We start from the raw sequence: 23,380 nt of genomic DNA on the forward strand, positions 1-23,380 counted from the left end.
GGCTAGTCTCTGGAGATACAAGGATAAATCAGTCACAGTCCCAGTCTTACTAAAGAAACAAACAAGTAAGGTAATTATTATAGTACCACGTGATACATACCAAAGAAGTAGGCTCAAAGCAGAGGAGCATTTTTGACTAATGCATGGAAAGGAAGAGAAAATGAGCATGGAAAAACAAGGTAGGGTCCTAGTGAAGGGCCACAAAAGCCAGGGTAAGGAACCACAACCCAGGAGCAGGATGTGGAATTGAGAAAAGAAAGAAAGTAAGTACATTCATGAAATAAATATTTCATGGGGAGAATCAGTGGGCGGTGGGGGTAAAGGAGAACAAGAGAAAAATTCTAAGGTGTCTTCAAAGTTTCAACATAACTTTTATACAACTAAGCCCTAAACGGTACTCTTCAAAAATATTAGGAGTTACTTTTAAGATTTCCCAAAGCAAAAGAGGGGCAGAAGGATGGAGAGTAATTCTTATATGAAAAATTATAGTTGGAAGTCAAGCAATTAACTTACTGATATGTAGAGCTAAAAATATTTAGAAATCTATTAAATCACTTCTTCATGTTTCAACTAACAATATAAACTCAAAAGCGGGTAAATGGGTTTTCCAGAGGTGTACAGTTGAGAATTGCGAAGACTAGACCATAGAACAATTTCCAATTCCAATTCAGGACCCATCCTCGTCATGGTTCTATTGTGCAACTTGATCTTACGTAAGGATAGCAACCAAGACCTCTGCACCAAAAGCAATATTCTGCCTTCTTTGACAATCATCCTGGCAATCTGGCTACCATCCATCTGTTCTCCTTGTCTCAAGCTTTAACCCACTTCACCAGGCTACTACAGTGATCTTTCTGAACAATAATCTGATCACATCACTCCCCTTCAGAAAGCCCTTTAGTAGACCTTTAATCTATATTAAATCAAGTCCAAATGGGCTGGCCAGTGCCCAGCCCTAGTGATCACACCCCCACCCCACACTTTACTGTACTAGACCTCTCATCTTCATACCTGATTTAGCCAGACAGTTTAGTAAACATCCCAGGACAGTCCTTGTCTTTATGGCTCTGCTGAGACTCTGTTTTCTGCTTGGACTCCTTTTACAAATGGAAAACAGACAAAGGAGAGAGTTAGAGGTTCTCTGATAAAGAGCCGTACTGAATACAGCAGAACAGAAGAGGGAGTAGCTTTTTTCTACTTGTCATGGTTAGGAAATGTTTCCTACGAACAGTCTGAGAGTCTTTTTTTTTTTTTTTTTTTTTTTTGAGACAGAGTCTTGCTCTGCAAGCTCTGCCTCCCGGGTTCACGCCATTCTCCTGCTTAGCCTCCCGAGCAGCTGGGACTACATGCGCCCGCCACCACGCCTGGCTAATTTTGTGTATTTTTAGTAGAGATGGGGTTTCGCCGTGTTAGCCAGCATGGTCTCAATCTCCTGACCTCGTGATCTGCCCGCCTCGGCCTCCCAAAGTGCTGGGATTACAGGCGTGAGCCACCGCGCCCAGCCGAACAGTCTGAGAGTCTTAATGATGACTAGGTGTTTGACAAATGAATAAAATGGGCTTAGAATTTATAGCTGCTTTTGCACTCTCATGGCAGACTAGTTGTGATATAGAATACACGGCCTGCAAATCCAAAAATATTGATTATCTGCCCCTTTACAGAAAAGGTTTGCCAATCACTTTCTAGACTGTAAGCTCCTTCAGGTCAGAGACTATTTTCTATACTTCTATCTTTAGTGTTTAGCATATAATAGATACTCAACAAATGTTATTTGAATAAATGAATCTTTTTAAAATGGAAATATTTTGCATATTTTACAGGTAAAAAGGCAAAGAGGCAAATGGAAAATTTTAAAGAAAGTCTCTTCAAAAATGTTTAAATTGAAAAAATATACTTACATTAGCTGGGTCAGCTCTTTCAATTAATATGGAACCTCAACTATCTACAGTAATTAATTTTCCCCTGGCTCTGTGCAGCTGAGATTTTGCTTATCAGTGTTAGCACTGAATTTTTATGGAAGGACTCAAGTGCAAAGGTTGAATGAATGTGAGGTAGAAAAGTCCCCAAAGACGGCAAACTCTCTTCACCTATTTTCATAGCCAGCAGTGCCAGAATTGAGTAAGAGTCAAAAGCTCTCCACCATCAAAGACCTCAGGAGAAGCCACTCACCTCATGGATGACATACTCTGCCTGCATACCTGATCATTTGTCTGAATGTCTCTAATGCAATGGCCAGCCCTGTACAGCCTGGAGCATGAATTTATCAAAAGGAAATTGGTTCCTAAATGTAAAACTCAATACATCAAAATCTACCAGGCAGACCAGTGAGAGACAGAAAGTGGATTTAATATTGCATTTGGCCATTATAGCCTCAATCCATCCGCCATCGTTTACCCAAAGGCCTTCAAGGCAGCAGACGTGATAAGCAAAATTTTATTCCCCTGATGAATTTTTCAGGGCCGACCTTAATATTGAAGCTTTCAAGATGAGGAATGATTACATTTGACTGGTCCTCAAAGAGCCTCATCACTAAACAGTCAGCATCTATGGGCAGGACTGCTGGAAAGGATTTTCAACCCAGCTCAAGCCATTCAGTCAACAAAATGTACTGGGCCAGAAGTCTAAGTTAGGCATTCCAGGATATAAAAGATAGTATGGTAATAGTCCTTGCTCTTAGATAATCCATATAGGAAATGGAGAAAACAGATATAGAAGAAAAATATAGGGAAAGTCATATAGCCTAAGAATGAGTACAGATGAAAACAGATGAAGGAACTGCAGGTATCAGAGCTCTGGGGAGGAGGATAGGGTTATTTAGAACATTCTCCATGACGGAGACAGAGTTTAAATGGTCATTTGAAAATAGCAAAGGTTAGTAGAGAAGAATGCAAGAAGGAAACTTCAAACTGATGAGCCTAGTCTGAAATCTGTGACAGAGGGTAATGAGCGATGAAAGTGGTAAGATGTGGGCAGTTAATTAATTGCAAGCAGTCCTTGAATCGTGAACTGAGAAGCACAGACTTTATAACAGGAGTATCTTAACAGTTAGAGCAATGTTACTTTGCAAATTATTTTCACATGCATTATTTTCTCACAGTAATCTTCTTCCTATAGATTGAAATCCTCCCTTACTGTTCCTCCCCCTGGTACACTTCATCCTCAGTACTTCATCTACCTCACCTTCAAATACATGCTCAAGTCTCACCACTTCTGGGAAATAGTTTCCTGATTCCCAGACTAGATCAAATCCCCATCTTCCCACAATTTATTCTCAGAATACCATGTAAAATTCCCAAGGAAGACAATCCAGGGATAGGATGGTGGCTTTGTTTCCCAAACTTCCCAGGGACTCAGGCCCTCTCTGGTCTTTCGCTCTACTATGGCTTATGGAGTCTCCCTCATTCTCTTGATCCAAATGCAGCTCTGGCCATTGTCCACATTCCAATCAGCAGGACAGAAGAAAGGGACTAAAACAAGAGACAAAGGATATCCATCAGGTATCTAGAAACTGCCACATGTATTTTCAAATTTATTCTGTTGATCAGAACTTAGTTACATGACCACACTTCACTGCAAAAAAAAAAAAAAAAAAAAAAAAAAGATTGGCTGATGTTTTCTGCATACAGCTTCAAATTCTCTTATGTGGATGATGAGAAAAACAAATATTAGGCAACAATTAGTAGTCTCTTCCACAAGGCCAACACTTGACAAGCAGCTTTCACTTGATGGCAAATCTATATTCTCAGATTCTTTCATTGGTCCATTTGCTTCAGTGGGTTATAGTATCTTGTCCGGAAAAGAGTTGAATTTGGTTTGCTCACCTAGGTATCCAAGGCATCTAGCACAGTGTCTGGTTTTTTTGTTTTGTTTTTGGGTTTTTTTTTTCTTTTTCAGACTAGCTGACAAAAAGTTTGTTGAATCAATGTTGGTGGGTAACAGGTCATATGCCAATTTTATAGAAAAAAATGTTGAGTATCCTTTATTCTTCAGGTTTGTGAAAGTAATGGATATAAAAGAACGAATAAAGTCATTCTGGGACGGTGAAAGAAGCACTTCCGAATTTTAGTGCTATCTTTCAGACACCACACTACTCTCTAAATTGCATGTGATTGATCATGTACAAAATGTGACTTCCCAGCAATTTCTTCATCTGAATAAGAGAAAGCACTGCACAATAAAGGAATGCTTTTCTGAGTGTGGGAAATGGTGCAGAGGATGCAGAATGGTGAGATGCGACCAACTCCGGGAATCCTCAAGTCATACTAATAAAATCACAAGGTTACATGATCCTTTAGAAGACATCTAACCCAATAACCCCCATGAGAATCACCTGAGAAAAATGTTAAATCACCCTTTACTCTCTGGGCCCTAAAGCCTAGTGAATCATCATCTTCAAACATGAGGCTAAGTAAAAATTTCCAAAGATGGCTGCTTCAGACCAGCTATTAGTGTCCCCCACCAAAATTCTTATGTTGAAATCGTAACCACCAAGGTGATGGTATTAGGAGGTGGGGCTTTCAGGAGGTAACTAGTTCATGAGGGAAAAGCCCTCACAAATAAAATTAGTGCCCTCATAAAAGGGACTTCAAAAAGCTCCTTTAACCCTCCTGTCTCATGAGGTCATGGCAAAAAAAGACAACTGTCTATGAAACAGGAAGCAGGCCTTCACCAGACACTGAGTCTGCTTGCTCCTTAATCTTGGACTTTCCACCTCCAGAACTGTGAGAAATAAATTTTTTTGTATATAAGCTACCAGTTTATGGTATTTTTTAGTAGACAGAACAGACCAAGACAATGCCTAGGTTACTTCTGTTCACAATTAAACCTGAAAACACAAAAATAATTCAACAACACCTCTCCCGCCTCAATTCTGTATTTAAACTCACTACAAAACTACTTCTAATACTTTATGGCTTGCTTTATGGCAGACATCCAAACTGGAGAGGAAACATACTATTTTCTCCTTCCACAGCATCCTAAGGAAAGTTCAGCACATCTCAGGGGTATTATGGCTAGACTGGATACAGGCTTTGGTCCCCACAGGCCTGAGTTCAGCCTGGATTTCCAGTTAAGTATGAGTCCTTGGGAAAATTTTTAAAACTTTCCAAGCTTCAGTTTTCTCACTTTCTCATCTGTAAAATGAGGGTCATTATACTACTAACTCAATAGGTTTGGGGTTTTTGTGTTTTTTTTTTGGTAGCAAAACAAAATATGTAAACCATTTAGACAAATTGTAGACATTATTTCTTCCAATTTTTTAGGGCAACTATACCTAGTGTCAATTATATTTTTATAGGCGTTAACTGAGAAATATCCTAAAAGGTTTGCAAAAATCTCATAAGTCATAAGGAAAAGGAATCTACGTAAACAGTTTGAAAGATACAAGAAATGTTTATTATCATGTAAATGGGGAAATATACACTTGACTGGTGTGGATCCATTTTTTTATCTTTATGCTAACGTCAAGTGTCTGATATCTATGTATATTTGTGGGCTTTTCATCAAGTCACAACAGACTTTTTTCTTCACTAATTTGCCTATGGAAAAGTGGTGACTTTTTAAAAGTTAGACAATGCAGTTTTTCTCGTCACAATGTTTTAAAACCACACAGAGAAGCTCTATGAAATAGGAGTTTCTTTGTATTTATAATGAATTTAGACTTTCAAGATCCAGGACCAACTAATTCTTCTTAATTTTCTCAGTTTCCTATTGTCAACCAAAGATGAAGCAGTACTAATGACCACATTTTAAAAAGTAATCCTCAAATATTCAACAGATAGTTTAACAGCAACTTAGAACATGAATGCTAGGGGACAAATTATACCCTGCAAGCTGAGCTAGTATCTATTATTCTTGGTGAATGCAGCCAAAAAAAAAATGTGTTATTGGCACCAAATGAAATAAAAGAACAGAGCTTCAAGATAATACCTGGCAGAGGGGGGGCAATGGGAGAGGGTGTCTTTCACAACTCCCGTGGCAGTGTACTGAAACAGAAAAGTACTAAGGGAAGACAGTACAGGAAGATTAAATATGATCTTGAACAGTGATATCCCCAGAGATCTTAGGCTTTTTATTCTTCCAGACCTAAAAATTGTCAGGATTTTGAGTAAATCACAAAAGCAATTGTCATCGAGAGCATTCACAGCTGCTCAAACAACTATTTTAAGGCAAGGGAAGCTGGCAGGCAAAGTGAGTATTGCAGCAGGGAGTCAGTGAAATGAATAAGTATGAAGAATATAAAACACTGTTAAAAAGTAAGAGCTGCCACATTTGAGGCAATTCGGCCTCAGTGTTTACATTTATATAGAGGGCTGTTTATGGGATTGTCGCAATGTATGCTTTTACCATTTTAATGCATAATGGTGTTGCCATTGAGGGTACTAGGAAGAAAATGATAGACCAGTTTCCAAGACAGACTCCAGGTTTAACTGCCTCATAATTTCTCAAATGCCTCAGAGTCAAAAATTTTGTAGAGGCAACTTCTGAATGACTAACAACCTCTAAGCCAAAAAGAAAATCAGAATTTAAAAATGATGACGCTGAAAGTAATAAAAAGGATGCACATAGACTGCAGACTTCTGCCTCCCATCCCTGTTCAGAAACCATATTCATAAACTAAAGAAACTGAACTCAGTCTCCCCACTGATGTGATGGACATCATCTGTAGTCGTAAACATTTGGCAAAGCTGAAGTTAGTAGTTATTTTATTATAACATTAATTCACTTACCCAAATGGGATTACACACTGTGGTATTCCTTTATAAGTTAACTTATATTAAATATTATAAGCAACATATTTAGCTGGGTATTGATGTTTACTAACTTTTTGTGGCTTTAATTTCTAATAAAAATTCCTATTAAAATTGATAGTTCACTTTGGGTTTATCGTACATTTGGAATAAAGTTGTCTTTTCAAAAAAATCTACTTCAAGGACATTTATGCTATAGTTGACTTTACAACAAGGGAAATAATATGGGTAATGAATAATATTCTGACATGATCAGCATTTTAATATGTGAACCAAAGCAAGATCAAAATATTATATAGCTCAACGGTAATTTATTTTAACCACTTCTTATTCATTTGACAAATATTTACTGAATATCCACTTTGGACCATTTACTGGGGATACATCACTGAATAAGGATGTCCTGTTCACTCTCATCACATTACTTAGAGTCTATTAAAGGAATCAGAGATCAAATAATTACAGTAGGAGCCTGTTTTTGTTTTGTTCTTGGCAGCTTTGTTGAAGCATAATTGACACGCAATAAACTTTTGACACATGTATATACCAATGAGAATATCACTATATACTCAAGATAGTGAACACATCCATCACTTCAAAGTTTTCTCATGTTCTTCTGTAATCCTTCCTTCCTGAGTCTCCCCATATGCCTTCCCTCCAGGCAATCGCTGATCTGTTCTCTATCACTACAGGTTAGTTGGCATTTTTTAAAGTTATAGAAATGAAATCATATAGTATGTATTTTTACTCATATGCCTTCTTTCACTCAGCGTAACTATTTTAAAATTCATCCATGTTGTTGTATATGTCAACAGTTTGTTCTTGGTATTGCCGGATAGTATTCTATTGTTTGAATGTACCACAATTTGCTATTCTGTTGACCTGCAGTGGATATCCGAGTTGCTTCCAGGTTTTAGCTACTACAAATAAAACTTCTACAAAGAAGCCTGGGTTTTAATTATACATGGGTTATAAGTGGACATGAGGAGAAATGGAGTTCAGACTAGAGGGAAAATCAAGTGGCTGTACTTTGGAATAAGGCTAACACTCCAGAAAAGAGGTATGGGGATTTTGCTTTCAATCATCCTCCTTGTTTTTGGCAGGTACAGGGATAGGCTAACCTAAAGACACAAAGAGGGGTTAATAGGTACTTTACGAAGCCTTCTCATAGAGTCCACATTCACAGAAACTATCTGCACACTGTAAATGCAAGCGAATCTACCTTCTGTTTCTTGAAGAGAATGAATGCCTTGATCTATGTATATTGGCTGCCCTCTTGAGTATAGGCACTTATCAGCTTTATCTAGGCTGATGTCATCAGAAACCAGGAACTATGCCTCATACATCACTAAATCAGCCTCCACTGCAGTACCTAGCACATTGGATCCACTCAGTAAATATTAGTAGAAGGAAAAAAAGAGGGAAAGGGGGAAGAGGGTGAGGAAGAGAGAGATTACATAATGGTAAAATCAACGAAGATGGAGATATACTAAATAAAAATCTTACAATTATTTATTTTGGCTAGGAGCATGGTTAAAAATCAGACATGCTATAAATACTTGCATAATGCTAAAAACATTTTATGGTAATTTCTATGATCTGGAAATAAGAGGAAAATCCCATGGGCAAGAGGGCCTTCTTGGTGGAATACTAGTTTGTTCATACCTCCATTAGCACCTTTTTCTCTTCACTTTATAGTAAATAACAAAATACTTTAACTCTTACTGGACAGTGAGCTCCAAAATATCAACTATCAATGTATCCTCAGTTCAAAAGACAGTGCCTGTTGATATTCAACAACAGTTCAGGTTAGGCTAATCACTACAAATAACCAAGGATTTAATCTTCAGTACTTCAGGAGAAGTCACTTAAAAGTTACCGATCTTCCTATATCTCCTTATTGCAAGCTATACTCCATGATAGGACTTCTCTGTACTTCTCATATTTCCTACATTTGTTCATGATGTTGCATCTAGAAAACCCTTTCAAACCTTCATATATATCCCTATTAGAAATTCCATCCATCTTTTAAAACTCAAATGAAAGACTATTTTGTCCATGAAGGACTCTTTAATCGGTTTAATTGACAAGAGATCCTTTCTCTTTAAGTCCAGGCTACTTTGTTCCCCACCTCCTTCTTCTATGGTCCTTATCCCATTAAGCCTTGTACTATTATTAGTCATGTATTTGTTATTATCTATCTTACTAAACTGTAATATCCTTAAGAGATATGTCTTATTCATCTCTGTATTTTATCTAGAGAATTTCAGAATGACTTGAAAATAGTAGGAGCTTAATAGATGTTTGTGATTAAATAAATAGATTAACAAATAAAAGAATGTAAACTTTCCAGTGTTTGCATTATGTGAAAGGCAGGAAGAAAGATGCTTTCCTCATATCTCACCCATTGTTTCTAATCTAATGTGAGAAAGCCCTACCAACATTATACACTGGGGAAAAAGCTATGGGTAAGTAAATGCTATTGAAGTAGAAATGTGATTTTGATATAGCAAGTTATAAGCCACCAACTCTTTGGTTGTAATTAATCCAGGTAATTAGCCAATTCCCTAGGAGGATCCTGACAGAAAAAAAAAACCTAGGTCAGGCAAGTTTTGATGGGAAGAAATGCAAGGCAGAAGAGTCCTAGTGCATCTGTAAAGACAATGAAGACCTCTAGCAGAAAACAGATTTTTGACTCCTGGATTTAGATTTAGAATGTTATGTGCATTTTCATAAAGTACATTTTCTCTAATATGACCCAATACTCTCAGTTGTTGACTAGTGCTGGGTAGAACAGGAGTCTTGGCCCTCCCTCTGGGTACTAGGGCAGCAGGATAATGTGTTTACGTTCTCAGAGGTTTAATCACATTATTGACTGACATTGAGTGCACTGTGGAGGACATCCCCTAAAACCTTGTACTTATATTCATGAAGTTATATTTCTTCTACTCTGTAATTATGTCATTATGCTTTTAGACTTGAAAACTGGACTCTAGATTTATCTCAATTATTTTTAATAGGGATGTACTCATTGCTCAAGAACACCCAACTCATGTTTGGAAAAATTTAAAATCTCCCACATTTCTACTCTATTATATATTATGATCATATCATTCACTTCTACATAGACAAAATAAAGTAGAAAGCTAGTAGAAATTATCTTTAGGAGAGAAATCATCTACTATACCAGAAAATGAAGAGAGAATAGAACACAGTATTCATATACTTTTTTTTCTTAATCTAGCAAACAAATATCAATTCTCTGCTTAGTTTACCTGTAGGTACACAGCTAGAATAAGAATTCTAATTTAAGGGAATAAAGCCATCAATAGAACTGTTTCTTGACCAAACAGTATGCATTAAGCTGTTGTAGAGCAATGTACCAGGCACTGTGCCACACCTTGCTTTGCTTTAGCTGAGACCATGCAATTCAAGTTTTCCATCCTCTGTGTCGAGTCTAATAATTGCTTTTGTTTTGTATTCTTTTTCTCACATCACATATTTCAACTTTACTAATAAATTGTTGAAGAAAACCATAGAATACTACAAATGAGATCTATTAGTTGCACCATTTTATTAATAGCATTTAACTTTGGCTGTTAAACTATTAACATATAATAAAAAGCTGCAATACTGCATTAGCAGGGTAAATGCATTCTAGTGAATAATAACAAACCATTCACAATTTACTAGGAGCTCAATTTAACCCAAATTATATTGTTAACAGTATGGCTGGTTTACTCACATGAAATTTAAAGAAGCGCTCTCAAGAATTAACATAAAATACCTTATGCTGTTTATGCACAATATAACTCACAGATAGAATGGGCAACATAAATTCCCAAAATTAACGCTTAAGCCAGTCTCTTCAGAATAGCTATCAATGTACAGCCTTACAAAATATATGCCCATCTCTTTCATTTTATCTATATGTCTCCATTTGTACTGGGTTTTATTTATGGTAGTAAAGTGAAATATATCATATTGTCCCTGTTTGGAGACATATGGTGTTTTATAGGCTCCATGGTCTACCCATAAAATTAACAGAGTTTGACAGTACCATTACAAGTAATTGTAGCAATAGCCTTAAAATAGAAAAACTCTGACAAAACCTTTTACTTTTCACAGAAATCCCCTCTACGCCATTTCTAGATAACAATCATGCAAAATGCTAACACTTGCTGCATTGTCACTATGTGTTACTTTACACCCATGAATATCCATGAGGATTTACAAAGCAGATGCTGAGACAAAGAGTCATAGGATAACTTCTCTGTGATCTCCTAGCTAGCAACGGGCAGAGACAGAGCCCAGAAGAGCATCCATGCCAGCGCCAGTGCTTACCCATTATACTAGACAGTCTTTCAGTATCTGTGGTTAGGCAGTCTCTGCTTAAGCAGTTATAAAGAGGGATGCTCATTTTCTCTCTAGGCCACCCATGGTATTTTTTAGCATCTCCTGTTCAGCAAGTCCTTCCTCTATCGAATCTATATAACTGATATTTATATCTCTTGGTCCTGGATCAACCCCTTAGAGCAACTCAGAATAAATCAAATGCCTCTATTTGTGACATATCTTCAAGTATATAAAAAGAGCAACCACGTTTCCTTCACACCTCCTTTTTACAAACTAAACACTTACTAGTTCTGTCAACATTTTTTATTATGACATACTTCCCATTCTTACCACATTCTGATTGCTCTCCCCTAACCACAATTGTTCGTCAACAACAATTTTAAGTTATGGCATCAAGACTAAAACACAATATTTCAGATATGAGCTGACCATTAGAAATAGTACTGGAATTCTACCCTCCCTTGTCCTTGTCTCTGGTAGACCAAAGAACCTTAGCATTTCTGATTAAATGCTACTTCTGACTTTTTGTAAGCCACGAGTAAATCCTTGAAATGCATACCATAATGAGAATATGAATGTGTTTTTTATAGTCTGCTTTTATTAAATAACGAAGATAAAATCATGGCTTAATTTTTAGCACATGCACTTCAAGATTAGTATTTACCAGTAAGCCACTTGCCTAGTGAGTGAGTCTAGATAGCTGCTTAGTCTTCCCATGCTGATGAACATCATTTTAGATCTAAGGACTTGAGGAGTTTAGACCAAATCCTGCATGTGCAGCAATAGTCAACTGTGGTACAGAATGTAATAGGCACCAGCTCATATTTCTATCTCTTTCTGACCTTTAAGTCAAGAAAATTACCTAGATTATTGAGTCAACTCTGTCCAAGCCTGTGCTTGAATATCATTTATATTAAAGTTTAAAAAATAAACTATGTATTTATCTTAGTAAATTTTATCTTTTAGTTTAGTCGTGACCTCTGAATCCTTGCTTGGTTATCCAGGCATTAGCTCTCCCTCTCAGAGCAATGGTATCCTCAGATTTGATAGCATGCTATCTTTATCAATTTCAGGATCTGATTAAGAAAGAGGAAAGCAGGACAAATCTCATAGTCCTGGCTATGCCACTAAAGCAACTGTTGAGCCCAGCAAAGTCACCAGGGCAGAGAACAGCACAGTAAGGGAAAAGGGAAAGAGCATCGGTACAGGATCTGGAGACCAGCTGGAAATCTAACACATAATCAGGCCACTACAGACACTGTCACCTTTGACTACATCTTCTCTGCCTCTGGCATCTCTAAGAAATTAGATTTCAAAAATCAGAAACCCAAGAAAAACACTCACATCTTCTCAAGATGTTCTAGTAAAAGGTTTATGATGCTCCTGAATAATAAATGGTAGTAATAATAATGGTCCTCATTATTAAGTGTTTACTCTTGGCCAGGCCCTTCATGTGAGCTACTTCTTTAAATCCTACCAACATGCCGCTGAGGCAGATATTATTGTTATGCCTCTTTTACAAAAGAGGAAACGAAGCTACTTGCCCAGGATCCCATGGATCAAAAGAGCAATCTCAGGATTTGCATCCAGCAGTCTGTCTCCAGAGCCTGCACTCTATGACATTCTTCTACACTATTATTCCATCCTTTAATACAGAAAGCAATTTTCAGTTCCTGTATTTTCTTCTGAAAATGGTCGCAACCATAGTTTTATTCCGATTTATTTTTGCAGTCTAATGTATCTAGAACATTTACTTTAACTCTACGACCAAGTAAGCCTACTACTACCATCTTGAGTATCTGAAAACTTCCTTCTTTAGGTTAATACCTGTATTTTTCTTTATTGCAATTCAAGCTTTTTCATTTGTCAATGTGCTACACATGTATCATGTTCTCATCATTATACTAAGAGCCTGGGTAATGCTTAAGCTAAATCTGAAAGGTGTTTTGATTTGTTAACAAAAAATCCTAATCATACATTCAACAGAGAAGACAAAATATCTAAACAAAATTGTTCTCAATGAATTATAAAATTATATATCTGATCTCTACTTAAAAGAGGAGAGCCTAACTAGCAAACATACACATATTTTATGTCTAAAGTTACTCTGTATGTAGAAATAAAAAGGATCAGGAAAACTGCAGGTATCCTGCCAGGAAACTATCCTGTAATTATCTGTGAAACATTCTGTTATAATTTAAAATATACTGCATAGGATCACAAAGAAAAGAGCAAAACTAACTGAATTCTGCAACAGGTTTGTAGATTTGGTGACAGCTTCAACCCAATCCCCCTGGCCATTAAAGAAAACACAAGATTATATAAGAAACTTCCCAGCCAACACTTAAAGACATAATTGTCCCAACCCTTTCAACTCCTCATGATTAGTTCCACTTACACTTCAGGGACTTTCTTGTTGAATCAAATATTCCCTGATCACCAAAACTTCTGTTCTTGAGCCTGAAACTCATGAAGTTATTGTCAGCCAGAGAATCATCCAGAGACACATATGGCTGCCTAATGCTCCCCAGGCTCTTGTGAGGTAGCTGCAACCAAAAAAGAGCTGCAAGCCAAGCTGAGAGCCTAACAGATCCAGCACTCTGCCGGCACCAAAGCAGCCCTGGCTCCCTCATGATTGCTCCTGGAGAAATTCCCCCACAAATTCTTTTTAAAATGGGCTACCCCTGTCCATCTAGGAATATATTAATGTGGAAATTTTCAGAGATGTATGCATAGAAAGAGGAGGACATCAAGAGAACTAGGAAAAGCATTGGCATTTCTCTTAATGGTGGTAGGATACCTCTTCGTGACCAACTGTGTCAATCTCAATGTGAACTTGCTCTTTCTAGGCTGCAGGGGATGTTTCCCTGCCCAGTACTGAGATTGCTCCACTCGAAGTTGGCATTGTTCAATGTCCTTTACTTCTTGCTCTATTATTGACTTAGCTGCAAGTTCAACTCAGATTCTAAAAAGACTAAAAGGGTCCTTACTGAACAGTAAACATAAAACCTATCACCAGCTCTCCAATGCATAGGACTGACTTGTGGCTGGTTTCTACCCCTAAGCAGGAAAGAGGCAAGATGAGCTCCTACCACCCCCATTTCTTCAGTTACATTTTTATTTGTCATATTTTAGCCAAGATGACTTTCTACATGGAAGAAGATTCAAATGATCACAACTGTTTACATTAGTATTTACTAACTGCCAGATATGTGAGTAAATGTTTTAAATTCATTGCCTCAGTTGACCCTGATAACCACCTTCTGAGGAAAGCACTATCACGTGCCTCATGTTTCCAGTAAAGAAATTGAGACTCAGGGATAAAATTTTTGTTTAAGGTCACACAGTTCCTAAGTGGATGGAGCAGAACGTGAACTTGACCGCACTAATGGCAGAGCTATATAACTTGAAGTAAAAATGCTCTCAATTTCCTACTTAATAGGATAAATGCTTAAGAAATTCAAATACAAATTGAATAGCCTTTCAAATGATAGCTTTTACCATTTTTTTACTTATAAGCAGCACAGAAAGGAGCTACATAGGATATAAAGGTGCTTTCAGGTCTAGATTTTAGGAAATATTTTTGCTTTGTCAGTTTCTCAAACTTAACTTATTCCAATGATATATTACACTGTTTATTATCTACAAAGAGGATAAATAGGTACAAAAATGTTTTTGACCCCTCAACAAAAGCAAATATAACCTCTTTTCCCAACCAGAAACCTTGGTCTGGACTTTGAATACTGATTTGGAAACAAGTTTTTAAAAGAATTAGCTCAAAGCAGCAGGTTTGTAGCTCATATGACACAAGATGATCAATGACCACATTAGCTACTAATCTAAGGCATAAAACATGCATGAGGCATTAGCATGGAAATCTAACACGTTCCCACCTCAGGTGGCACTGGATTTCTAATCCGTTGCCCCATGTAATAGGAATAAACTTAAATAGCTTATTTAGAGCTTCATTTACAAAGTTAATAATTAGAATGATTTACTCAAAAGGCAAAGAAGGAAGGCAGACAGCTGGGTGGGGTGTTGAAATGCAAGGAAGAAAATAACAGCCATTTTCAAAAAGCCAAACTCAACTTCTTAGTAAAAATGACTTTGCTTGTAATTTTGTCTTGAAGGACATTCCCCATTCTTATGGAAGGGAATCAGAGTTAGGAAAAAGCATGAGTTCTAGAAGCTGAGTTGGTTAGAGACCAATAAATAGATCCAGGACCCTAGACAAGTTGTTTAATCACCCGAACAAAGGTTTCTACATTTTTAACATTTGAATAATAATTCCTGCTTTGCAAGGAATAAAATTTAACAAAAGCAAAGTGGTTAATACAGTGCCTAACACTTGGGAGGTACTGAATTACTATTGATTTCACCCCTTACAGGATTCACCAGCAAGTTCCAAGATACAAGCAAGATCTCCTCTTCCCGGTTCTGCAATAGAAGGTTCTGATCTAGTCACAGATTTTGACATAGTAGTTTTCTCACCTACATTCAGTGCCGGAACAATAGTTGGATGAATTGTTTAATGTGATGTTATATAAAATATTGGACGAATAAAGTTCAGCTAATTAGAAAAAAGCAGGTATATAGTTTTTCCACCCTTCTCTCAGGTGATTCAAGTTTCTCTATGTAGCATTTTTGTGACCTGGTTTAGGCTTGTCTCTAACTTTTGAAATGTCCAGGTCAAGAGTCCCAATGAAAATCCATATTCCTAAATATTTGAAATGCATAAAACACCTGACAAAATTTAAATGAATATTATAGATTATTTCCTATAACCTAGACAGAAGTACCTTCATAATGACGTGGAAGCCTAGATTCAAATTTATAATTGTGAGAGGACTTGGAGTTCTGCGCCAAGACATAGTATCGTGGGAAAAGCCAGCTCTTCCTTCTCTTTCCACCCCAGCTCTATCCTACACAATGAGAGGACTTGCACACACATGTGTGCTCCAATTAAGTCAGCCGTCTATGCATGTGGATCACGCATATCCAAGCCCCATCCCCACTGACCACCCCAAAACTACCCATCAAGCCCACTGACACATCCACAGACATCATGGTTGGTTCTTTCCCAGAGGAAATTCCTAAGGAAGAGGCCTCTGTGAGCTCTAGAATCTAGGAATTCCAGGGTCTCAGGTACATAAAACATGTCCAGAAATGAGGGTGGTAGGCACCAGGTGGCCATGAGGACTCCAGGTGGCTCTGAAGACACACTGCCCCATGTAAAAGGGTAGGACCAGAGAACCAGATCGGAGCCTGTACTACATGGAGCCCAAAACAAGGGTCTCTCTTGCCCTGGCTCAGTAAAACCTACTTGCTCAGTCGAGTTTACCTCCACATCATCCCAAGTGCTATCCTGAAGAACAGAGGGTTCACATATTCATTGCAGGGGAACTCCGTGTTATCCATAAACTTGCTGCAAGGCAGATTGTCTTTCTGCAAGATAAAGTATGGACATCATTATTAACCCTTCTAATTTCACTTTTATACACTAAATCAGTCCTGATAATTAACATGTTCCATTTTAAACAACTAGCTGGGCTAGTTTCCTATCAAGAGACAGGAAAAAATAACTTCAATTTTCTTCACAGAAATCTATGGAGACATATATATGTCATATATATGTACTTTAGGGATTCTTTTTCATAGAAAAAATTGTTCTAAGGTATTCTCATGCTCATCCTTATCATATAAAAGTATATTCTGCCTCACATGTCTAATAATATTTGGCAGTCTTAGCACTGCTAAAAGATTTTTCTGGGCCACAGAAAGACCTTTTACAAGTGGAATTAGGCCATAACACTCACTTTTCGAGGGTTGTGAATACAAGTTATAAGCTACTATTCACAGCTTGTCATTGACTCATGCTGCTGCCCTCACAGGAAAGAGCCAGTAGTGAAAGGGCTTCAAGATACCCATGCCCACGAGACTGAAGCTCTGCCAAAAGCCAGAAATTTCACTCATGGACAAGTCGAAGGACCTTTGATTATGACGATATCCCTCCATGAGCTGGTCCTTTCCTACTTTCCCTCTCCCATCCACCATTATATCCTTGCTGTCTCTCAAGGGCTCTCTACCTCTGAGGGTCTCAAACCATATTGTAATCACCTGGAGAGCTTTAAAAATCAGCTGTTGAGATTCTGATTTAATTGGTGCAACCTGGCCATGGAGTTTTTTTCCAACTCCCCAGGTGACTCTAATGTGCATCCAGGTTTTAGAATCACCTTATCATACGCCCCCAATCTGCTTGACCTTTTCTGAACACAGCCAGCACTCTCACACTCCTATGCCCTTCTGCTTCAAATATCCCTTGCCTACCTGGCAAAAACTGCTTCTCATCCTATAAGACTCAGTCAGGTGAAGCCCCACTCAAGGAAGTCAGTCCTTCCCATTTTGAGCTGCGAGAATACCTCGTGCATCCCCTTAGTACAACTAACAGAGACTATATAATTCATCATCTAAACCAACACACTGTTGAATGTCAAATTAAACACTATTAATAATTATGCTGAATGACAGGTATCAACTAGGACTATCTCAGGCACATGGGACATAAGATAACCCTAATTATAGCTCCTATTATATTAATCAGTAATTGTGTACTGGCTTGTTTATCTCCCACCTTATTCTGTGAAAGCCACTAAAGCAGAGACTGTATATATTCGTCTAACCTCAGTGTCCAGCACAAATTAGATGCTGAATAGATGTTTCTAGAAGATGCCCTCTATTTTATAATGGCTAAGTGCATGGACTCTATAACCAAAGCACATGGGTTCAAACTCCAGCTCTACCACTTAGTAGCTGTGTGACTGGATAATTTGTGTGTCAGTGGCTTCATTTCTGAAATGAAGATAATAATGGCATGTACTTAACTGGGGTGTTTAAAGGTTCAAATGAGTTTGAACCTAGAACAGTACCTAAACATAGGAATAAGAACACTATGTAAGTGTTTATTATTTTTAAAAAGAATAAACCAATTGAATATACTCCAAGTGGCTTTTTTTCTATGAAACTCTTTCAAACAATCACGCCCATACTGAATGCTCACAGTAATAATGGCTAACCTTTACTATGACTCACCGTGTGCAAGGCACTGTTACATGCTTTACATACATTTTCTCATTGACCATTCATCACAAGTCTATCAGGGAAATATATCTATCTATTACCTTAAGTTTACAAATAAAGAAACTGAGGGCTCAAAATAAAGGTTTCCACAGTCCCTCTATTTTATCTTTCCCTAAGGAAAAAAAAAAACTTCCATTCTCTCTCCCTGAGAGTTTCTTGTGATTTCTTTGAGAAATAAAAGGGCTTCTCTGAAGTCTCTAAGACAACGTACCTAATGTATGAGGAAATGGAGAGTGAAAAAGCAATGGCAGTGAAATCTGTGCTCTAGAAGGAGCCCGTTATTGCTTTTTGAAGTGTTTTAACAATTCATGAGCCAACATTATCAAGGAGGTAATATATAGAAAATATTATTTTGGGTACTGAGAACACCCAAAATTATAAAATCTTCCTCTTACCTCCAAGGAGTTCAAAATCTAGCTGAGAAAAGAGAGAAAATAGTAAATACCATTATAAGGTTTAAATAGCAGTAATATAAGGGAGACTCCCAGAGCAACATATGATTAATTCCCAAATAAATGATAAAGTTTGTACCTGCCACGTAAAGTCAGGAAAGGACGGACTTTTGAAGAGTGGAGACTGAGAGGGCTTGAGATTTGTGTCTTTAAACATTTACTGGTTGAGGGGTTAAGATGGCGGAGAGGAGGCAGGACTTGCTTGCAGCTCCCACTTGGATAGACGGAGCAGCCTGTGAAGATTTACATCATGAACTTTTGCTCCAGCGACTACCACAGCAACGTACCAGGAAACCCGAGAGAATCCACACACCCTTTGAAGGAACTTGCTGCGGGGTCCCTAAGACGCCAAAAAACTGAGTCTGCTTGCTTTCTCAATGGGGAGGCTTGTGGTCTGAGGCAAATTCTCAGCCCGGGTCACTGGCTTCCTGGAAACTGACTCCAAGCTGCTCACGGTGGGAGTGAGACGGGCCTTTAGGACTGCAGGCTGTGTGGGAGCGGGGTGAAACCGGTGACTGCTGGCTTTCCCCCACTTCCCTGGCAACTCAGCAGACTCAGCAGAGGGAGCCATAATCTCCCTGGGAATATAACTCCAATGGACTAGGAGCCCCACCCCCATCCCCCACAGCAGCTGCAGCAAGCCCCATCCAAGGAGAGGCTGAGCTCAGACACGCCTATCCCTGCCCCAACCTGGTAGTCTTTCTTTACCGGCCCTGGTGGCGGAAGACAAAGGTCATAATCTCTTGGGAGCTTTACGGCCCTGCCTACCGCCTGAGAAACCAGGATACTTAACCAGGCCACACTAGGGCAAGTTTGTTTCCTCCCTATAGTACTATATTGTACTTTTTTTTTTTTTTTTTTTTATACGGAGTCTCTGTCGCCCAGGCTGGAGTGCAGTGGAGCCATCTCGGCTCACTGCAACCTCCGCCTCCCAGGTTCAAGCAATTCTCTGCCTCAGCCTCCCGAGTAGCTGGGATTACAGGCACCTGTCACCATGCCCAGCTAATTTTTGTATTTTTAGTAGAGATGGGTTTCACCATCTTGGCCAAGCTGGCCTTGAACTCCTGGCCTCATGATCCACCCACCTTGGCCTCCCAAAGTGCTGGGATTACAGACGTGAGCCACCGCGCCCGGCCTTTTTTTTTTTTTTTAAATACAGATTTTCGCTTTTGTTGCCCTGGCTAGAGTGCAATGACACGATCTCCGCTCACTGCAACCTCCACCTCCTGGATTCAAGTGATTCTCCTACCTCAACCTCCCAAGTAGCTGGAATTACAGGGGCCTGCCACCACGCCTGGCTAATTTTTTTTGTTTTTTTTTTTAATACAGATTTTCGCTTTTGTTGCCCAGGCTAGAGTGCAATGGCGCGATCTCCGCTCACTGCAACCTCCAACTCCTAGATTCAAGCGATTCTCCTACCTCAGCCTCCCAAGTAGCTGGGATTACAGGGGCCTGCCACCATGCCTGGCTAATTTTTTTTGTATTTTTAGTAGAGACAGGGTTTCGCCGTGTTAGCCAAGCTGGTCTTGAACTCCTAACCTCAGGTGACCCACCTGCCTCAGCCTCCCAAAGCGCTGGGATTATAGGCATGAGCCACCGCGCCCGGCTCTGATGTGCTCTTGAAAGCACCACCTCCTGGCGGGAGACGATGCAACTCAAAACCAGAGTAATAAGCAAAAACACAACCAAGGACCCACACAGAGTCCGTTTCACTCCCCTGTTACCTCCACTGGAGCAGGTGCTGGTATCCATGGCTACAAGACCTGAAGATGGATCACATCACAGGACTCTTTGCAGACACTTCCCAGTACCAGCCCAGAGCTTGGTAGCTCTGCTGGGTGGCTAGACCCAGAAGAGCAAAAACAGTCACTACAGTTCAGCTCTCAGGAAGCCCCGTTCCTCCGGGAAGCGGGAGAACACGACATCAAGAGAGCACCCCGTGGGACAAAAGAATCTGAAGAGCAGCCCTTGAATTCCAGATTTTCCTACTTACATAGTCTATCCAATGAGAAGAAACCAGAAAAAAAAAATCTGGTAATACGACAAAACAAGGTTATTTAACACCCCGAAAAATCATAGCAGCTCACCAGCAATGGATGCAACCAAGAAGAAATCTCTGAATTGCCAGAAAAAAAAAATTCAGAAGATCAATTATTAAGCTAATCACGGAGACACCAGAGAAAGGTGAAGTTCAGCTTAAAAAAATTAAAAACATGATACAAGATATGAAAGAAAATTCTTCAGTGAAATAGGTAGCATAAATAAAAACAATCACAACTTCTGGAAATCAAGGAAACAGAGAAATGCAAAATGCACTGGAAAATCTCAGCAATAGAATTGAACTAGCAGAAAAAAGAACTTCAGAGCTCAAAGACAAGGCTTTCAAATTAACCCAATCCATCAAAGACAAAGAAAAAAGGATTTTAAAAAATGAACAAAGCCTCCAAGAAGTTTTGGACTATGTTAAATAACTAAACTTAAGAATAACTGGTGTTCCCAAGGAAAAAGATAAATCTAAAAGTTTGAAAAACATATTTGAGAGAATAATTGAGGAAAACTCCCCTGGCTTCACTAGAGATCTAGACATTCAAATACAAGATGCTCAGAGAATACCTGGAAAATTTCTCACAAAAACATCATCACCTGGGCACATACTCATCAGGTTATCTAAAGTCAAGATGAAGGAAAGAATCTTAAGAGCTCTGAGGCAAAAGCATCAAGTAATCTGTAAAGGAAAACCTATCAGATTAACAGCAGATTTCTCAGCAGAAACCCTACAAGCTAGAAGGGATTGGGGTCCTATCTTCAGCCTCCTTAAACAAAATAATTATCAGCCAAAAATTTTGTATCCAGTGAAACTAAGCTTCATAAATGAAGGAATGATACAGTCTTCTCCAGACAAACAAATGCTGAGAATTTGCCACTACCAAGCCAGCACTACAAGAGCTGCTAAAAGGAGCTCTAAATCTTGAAACAAGTCCTCAAAATACACTAAAATAGAACCCCCTTAAAGCGTAAATCTTACAGGATCTACGTAACAATAACAAAATGAAAAAAAGTATTCAGGCAACAAGACAGACCATATGACAGGCCACAAAACAAGTCTCAGGAAATTTAAGAAAATCAAAATTATATCGACTACCTTCTCAGACCACAGTGGAATAAAATTGGAAGTCAACTCCAAAAGGAACCCTCAAAACCAAGAAAATACATGGAAATTAAATAACCTGCTCCTGAATAATCATTGGGTCAACAATGAAATAAAGATGGAAATTAAAAAATTATTTGAACTGAATAAGAGTGACACAACCTATCAAAACCTCTGCGATACAGCAAAGGTGGTGCTCAGAGGAAAGTTTATAGCATTAAATGCCTACATCAAAATGTCTGAAAGAGCACAAATAGACAATCTAAGGTCACACCTCATGTAACTGAAAAAACAAGAACAATCCAAACCCAAATCCAGCAGAAGAAAAGAAATAATGAAGATCAGAGCACAACTAAATAAAATTGAAACTAAAAAAATTACAAAAGATAAATGAAACAAAAAGCTGGTTCTTTGAAAAGTTGAGTGAAATTGATAGACCATTAGCAAGATTAACCAAGAAAAGAAGAGAGAGGATCCAAATAAACTCAATGAGAAATGAAACGGGAGATATTACAACTAATACCACAAAAATATGAAAGATTATTCAAGGCTATTGTAAACACCTTTATGTGCATAAACTAGAAAACCTAGAGGAGGAGATAGATAAATTCCTGGAACTATACAAACCTCATAGATTAAACCAGAAAGATACAGAATCTCTGAACAGGCCAATATCAAGCACCAAGATTGAAATGGTAATTTAAAAATTGCCAGCGAAAAAAAGGTCCAGGACCAGATGGATTCACAGCTGAATTCTATCAGACATTCAAAAACAAATTGGTACCAATCCTACTGATACTATTCCAAAAGACAGAGAAAGAAGGAATCTCCCTAAATCATTCTATGAAGCCAGTATCACCCTAATAGCAAAACCATGGAATGATATAACAAAAAAAAAAAAATTACAGACCAATATCCCTGAAGAATATAGATGCAAAAATCCTCAACAAAATACTAGCGAGCCAAATCCAACAACATATCAAAAAGATAATCCACCATGATCAAGTGAGTTTCATATCAGGGATGCAGGGATGGTTTAACATACTCAATAAATGTGATACACCACATAAACAGAATTAAAAAGAAAAAAATCACATGATCATTTCAATGGATGCAGAAAAAACATCTGACAAAAGCAAACATCCATTTATGGTTAAAACCCTCAGCAAAATCTGCACAGAAGGGACATACCTTAAGGTAATAAAAGTCATCCAGGACAAACCCACAGTCAACATTATAGTGAATGGGGAAAAGGTGAAAGCATTCGCTCTGAGAACTGAAACAAGACAAGGATGCCCACTCTCACCACTTCTATTCAACATAGTACTGGAAGTCCTCCCCGGAACAATCAGAAAAAGAAAAAAGGGCATCCAAATTGGTAACAGGATATCAAACTGTCCCTGTTTGCTGATGATATGATCATATACCTAGAAAACCCTAAAGACTCATCCAAAATCTCCTAGAACTGGTAAATGAATTCAGCAAAGTTTCAGGATACAAAATTAATGCACACCAATTAGTAACTCTGCTATGCACCA

At 38.4% G+C, this 23,380-nt stretch overlaps 1 long non-coding RNA gene across 3 annotated transcripts in view; it reads right to left on the reverse strand.

Annotated features, from left to right (window-relative positions):
• Positions 1–23,380, reverse strand: part of LOC105375999 (uncharacterized) — a 155,489-nt gene that overhangs the window by 61,493 nt on the left and 70,616 nt on the right. For 2 of the 3 annotated variants that reach the window (XR_001746566.2, XR_001746565.1), the window contains exons 2-3: positions 18,774–18,927; positions 16,447–16,550 (exon numbers count right to left, since the gene is read on the reverse strand). This is a non-coding gene — a long non-coding RNA (uncharacterized LOC105375999). Of the gene's footprint in view, positions 1–16,446; positions 16,551–18,773; positions 18,928–19,007; positions 19,213–23,380 lie in introns of those variants that run through there. The other variant, XR_001746567.1, reaches the window with a different exon arrangement.

This window comes from Homo sapiens, chromosome 9 (genome assembly GCF_000001405.40).
Source record: "Homo sapiens chromosome 9, GRCh38.p14 Primary Assembly".
NCBI lineage: Eukaryota > Metazoa > Chordata > Mammalia > Primates > Hominidae > Homo > Homo sapiens.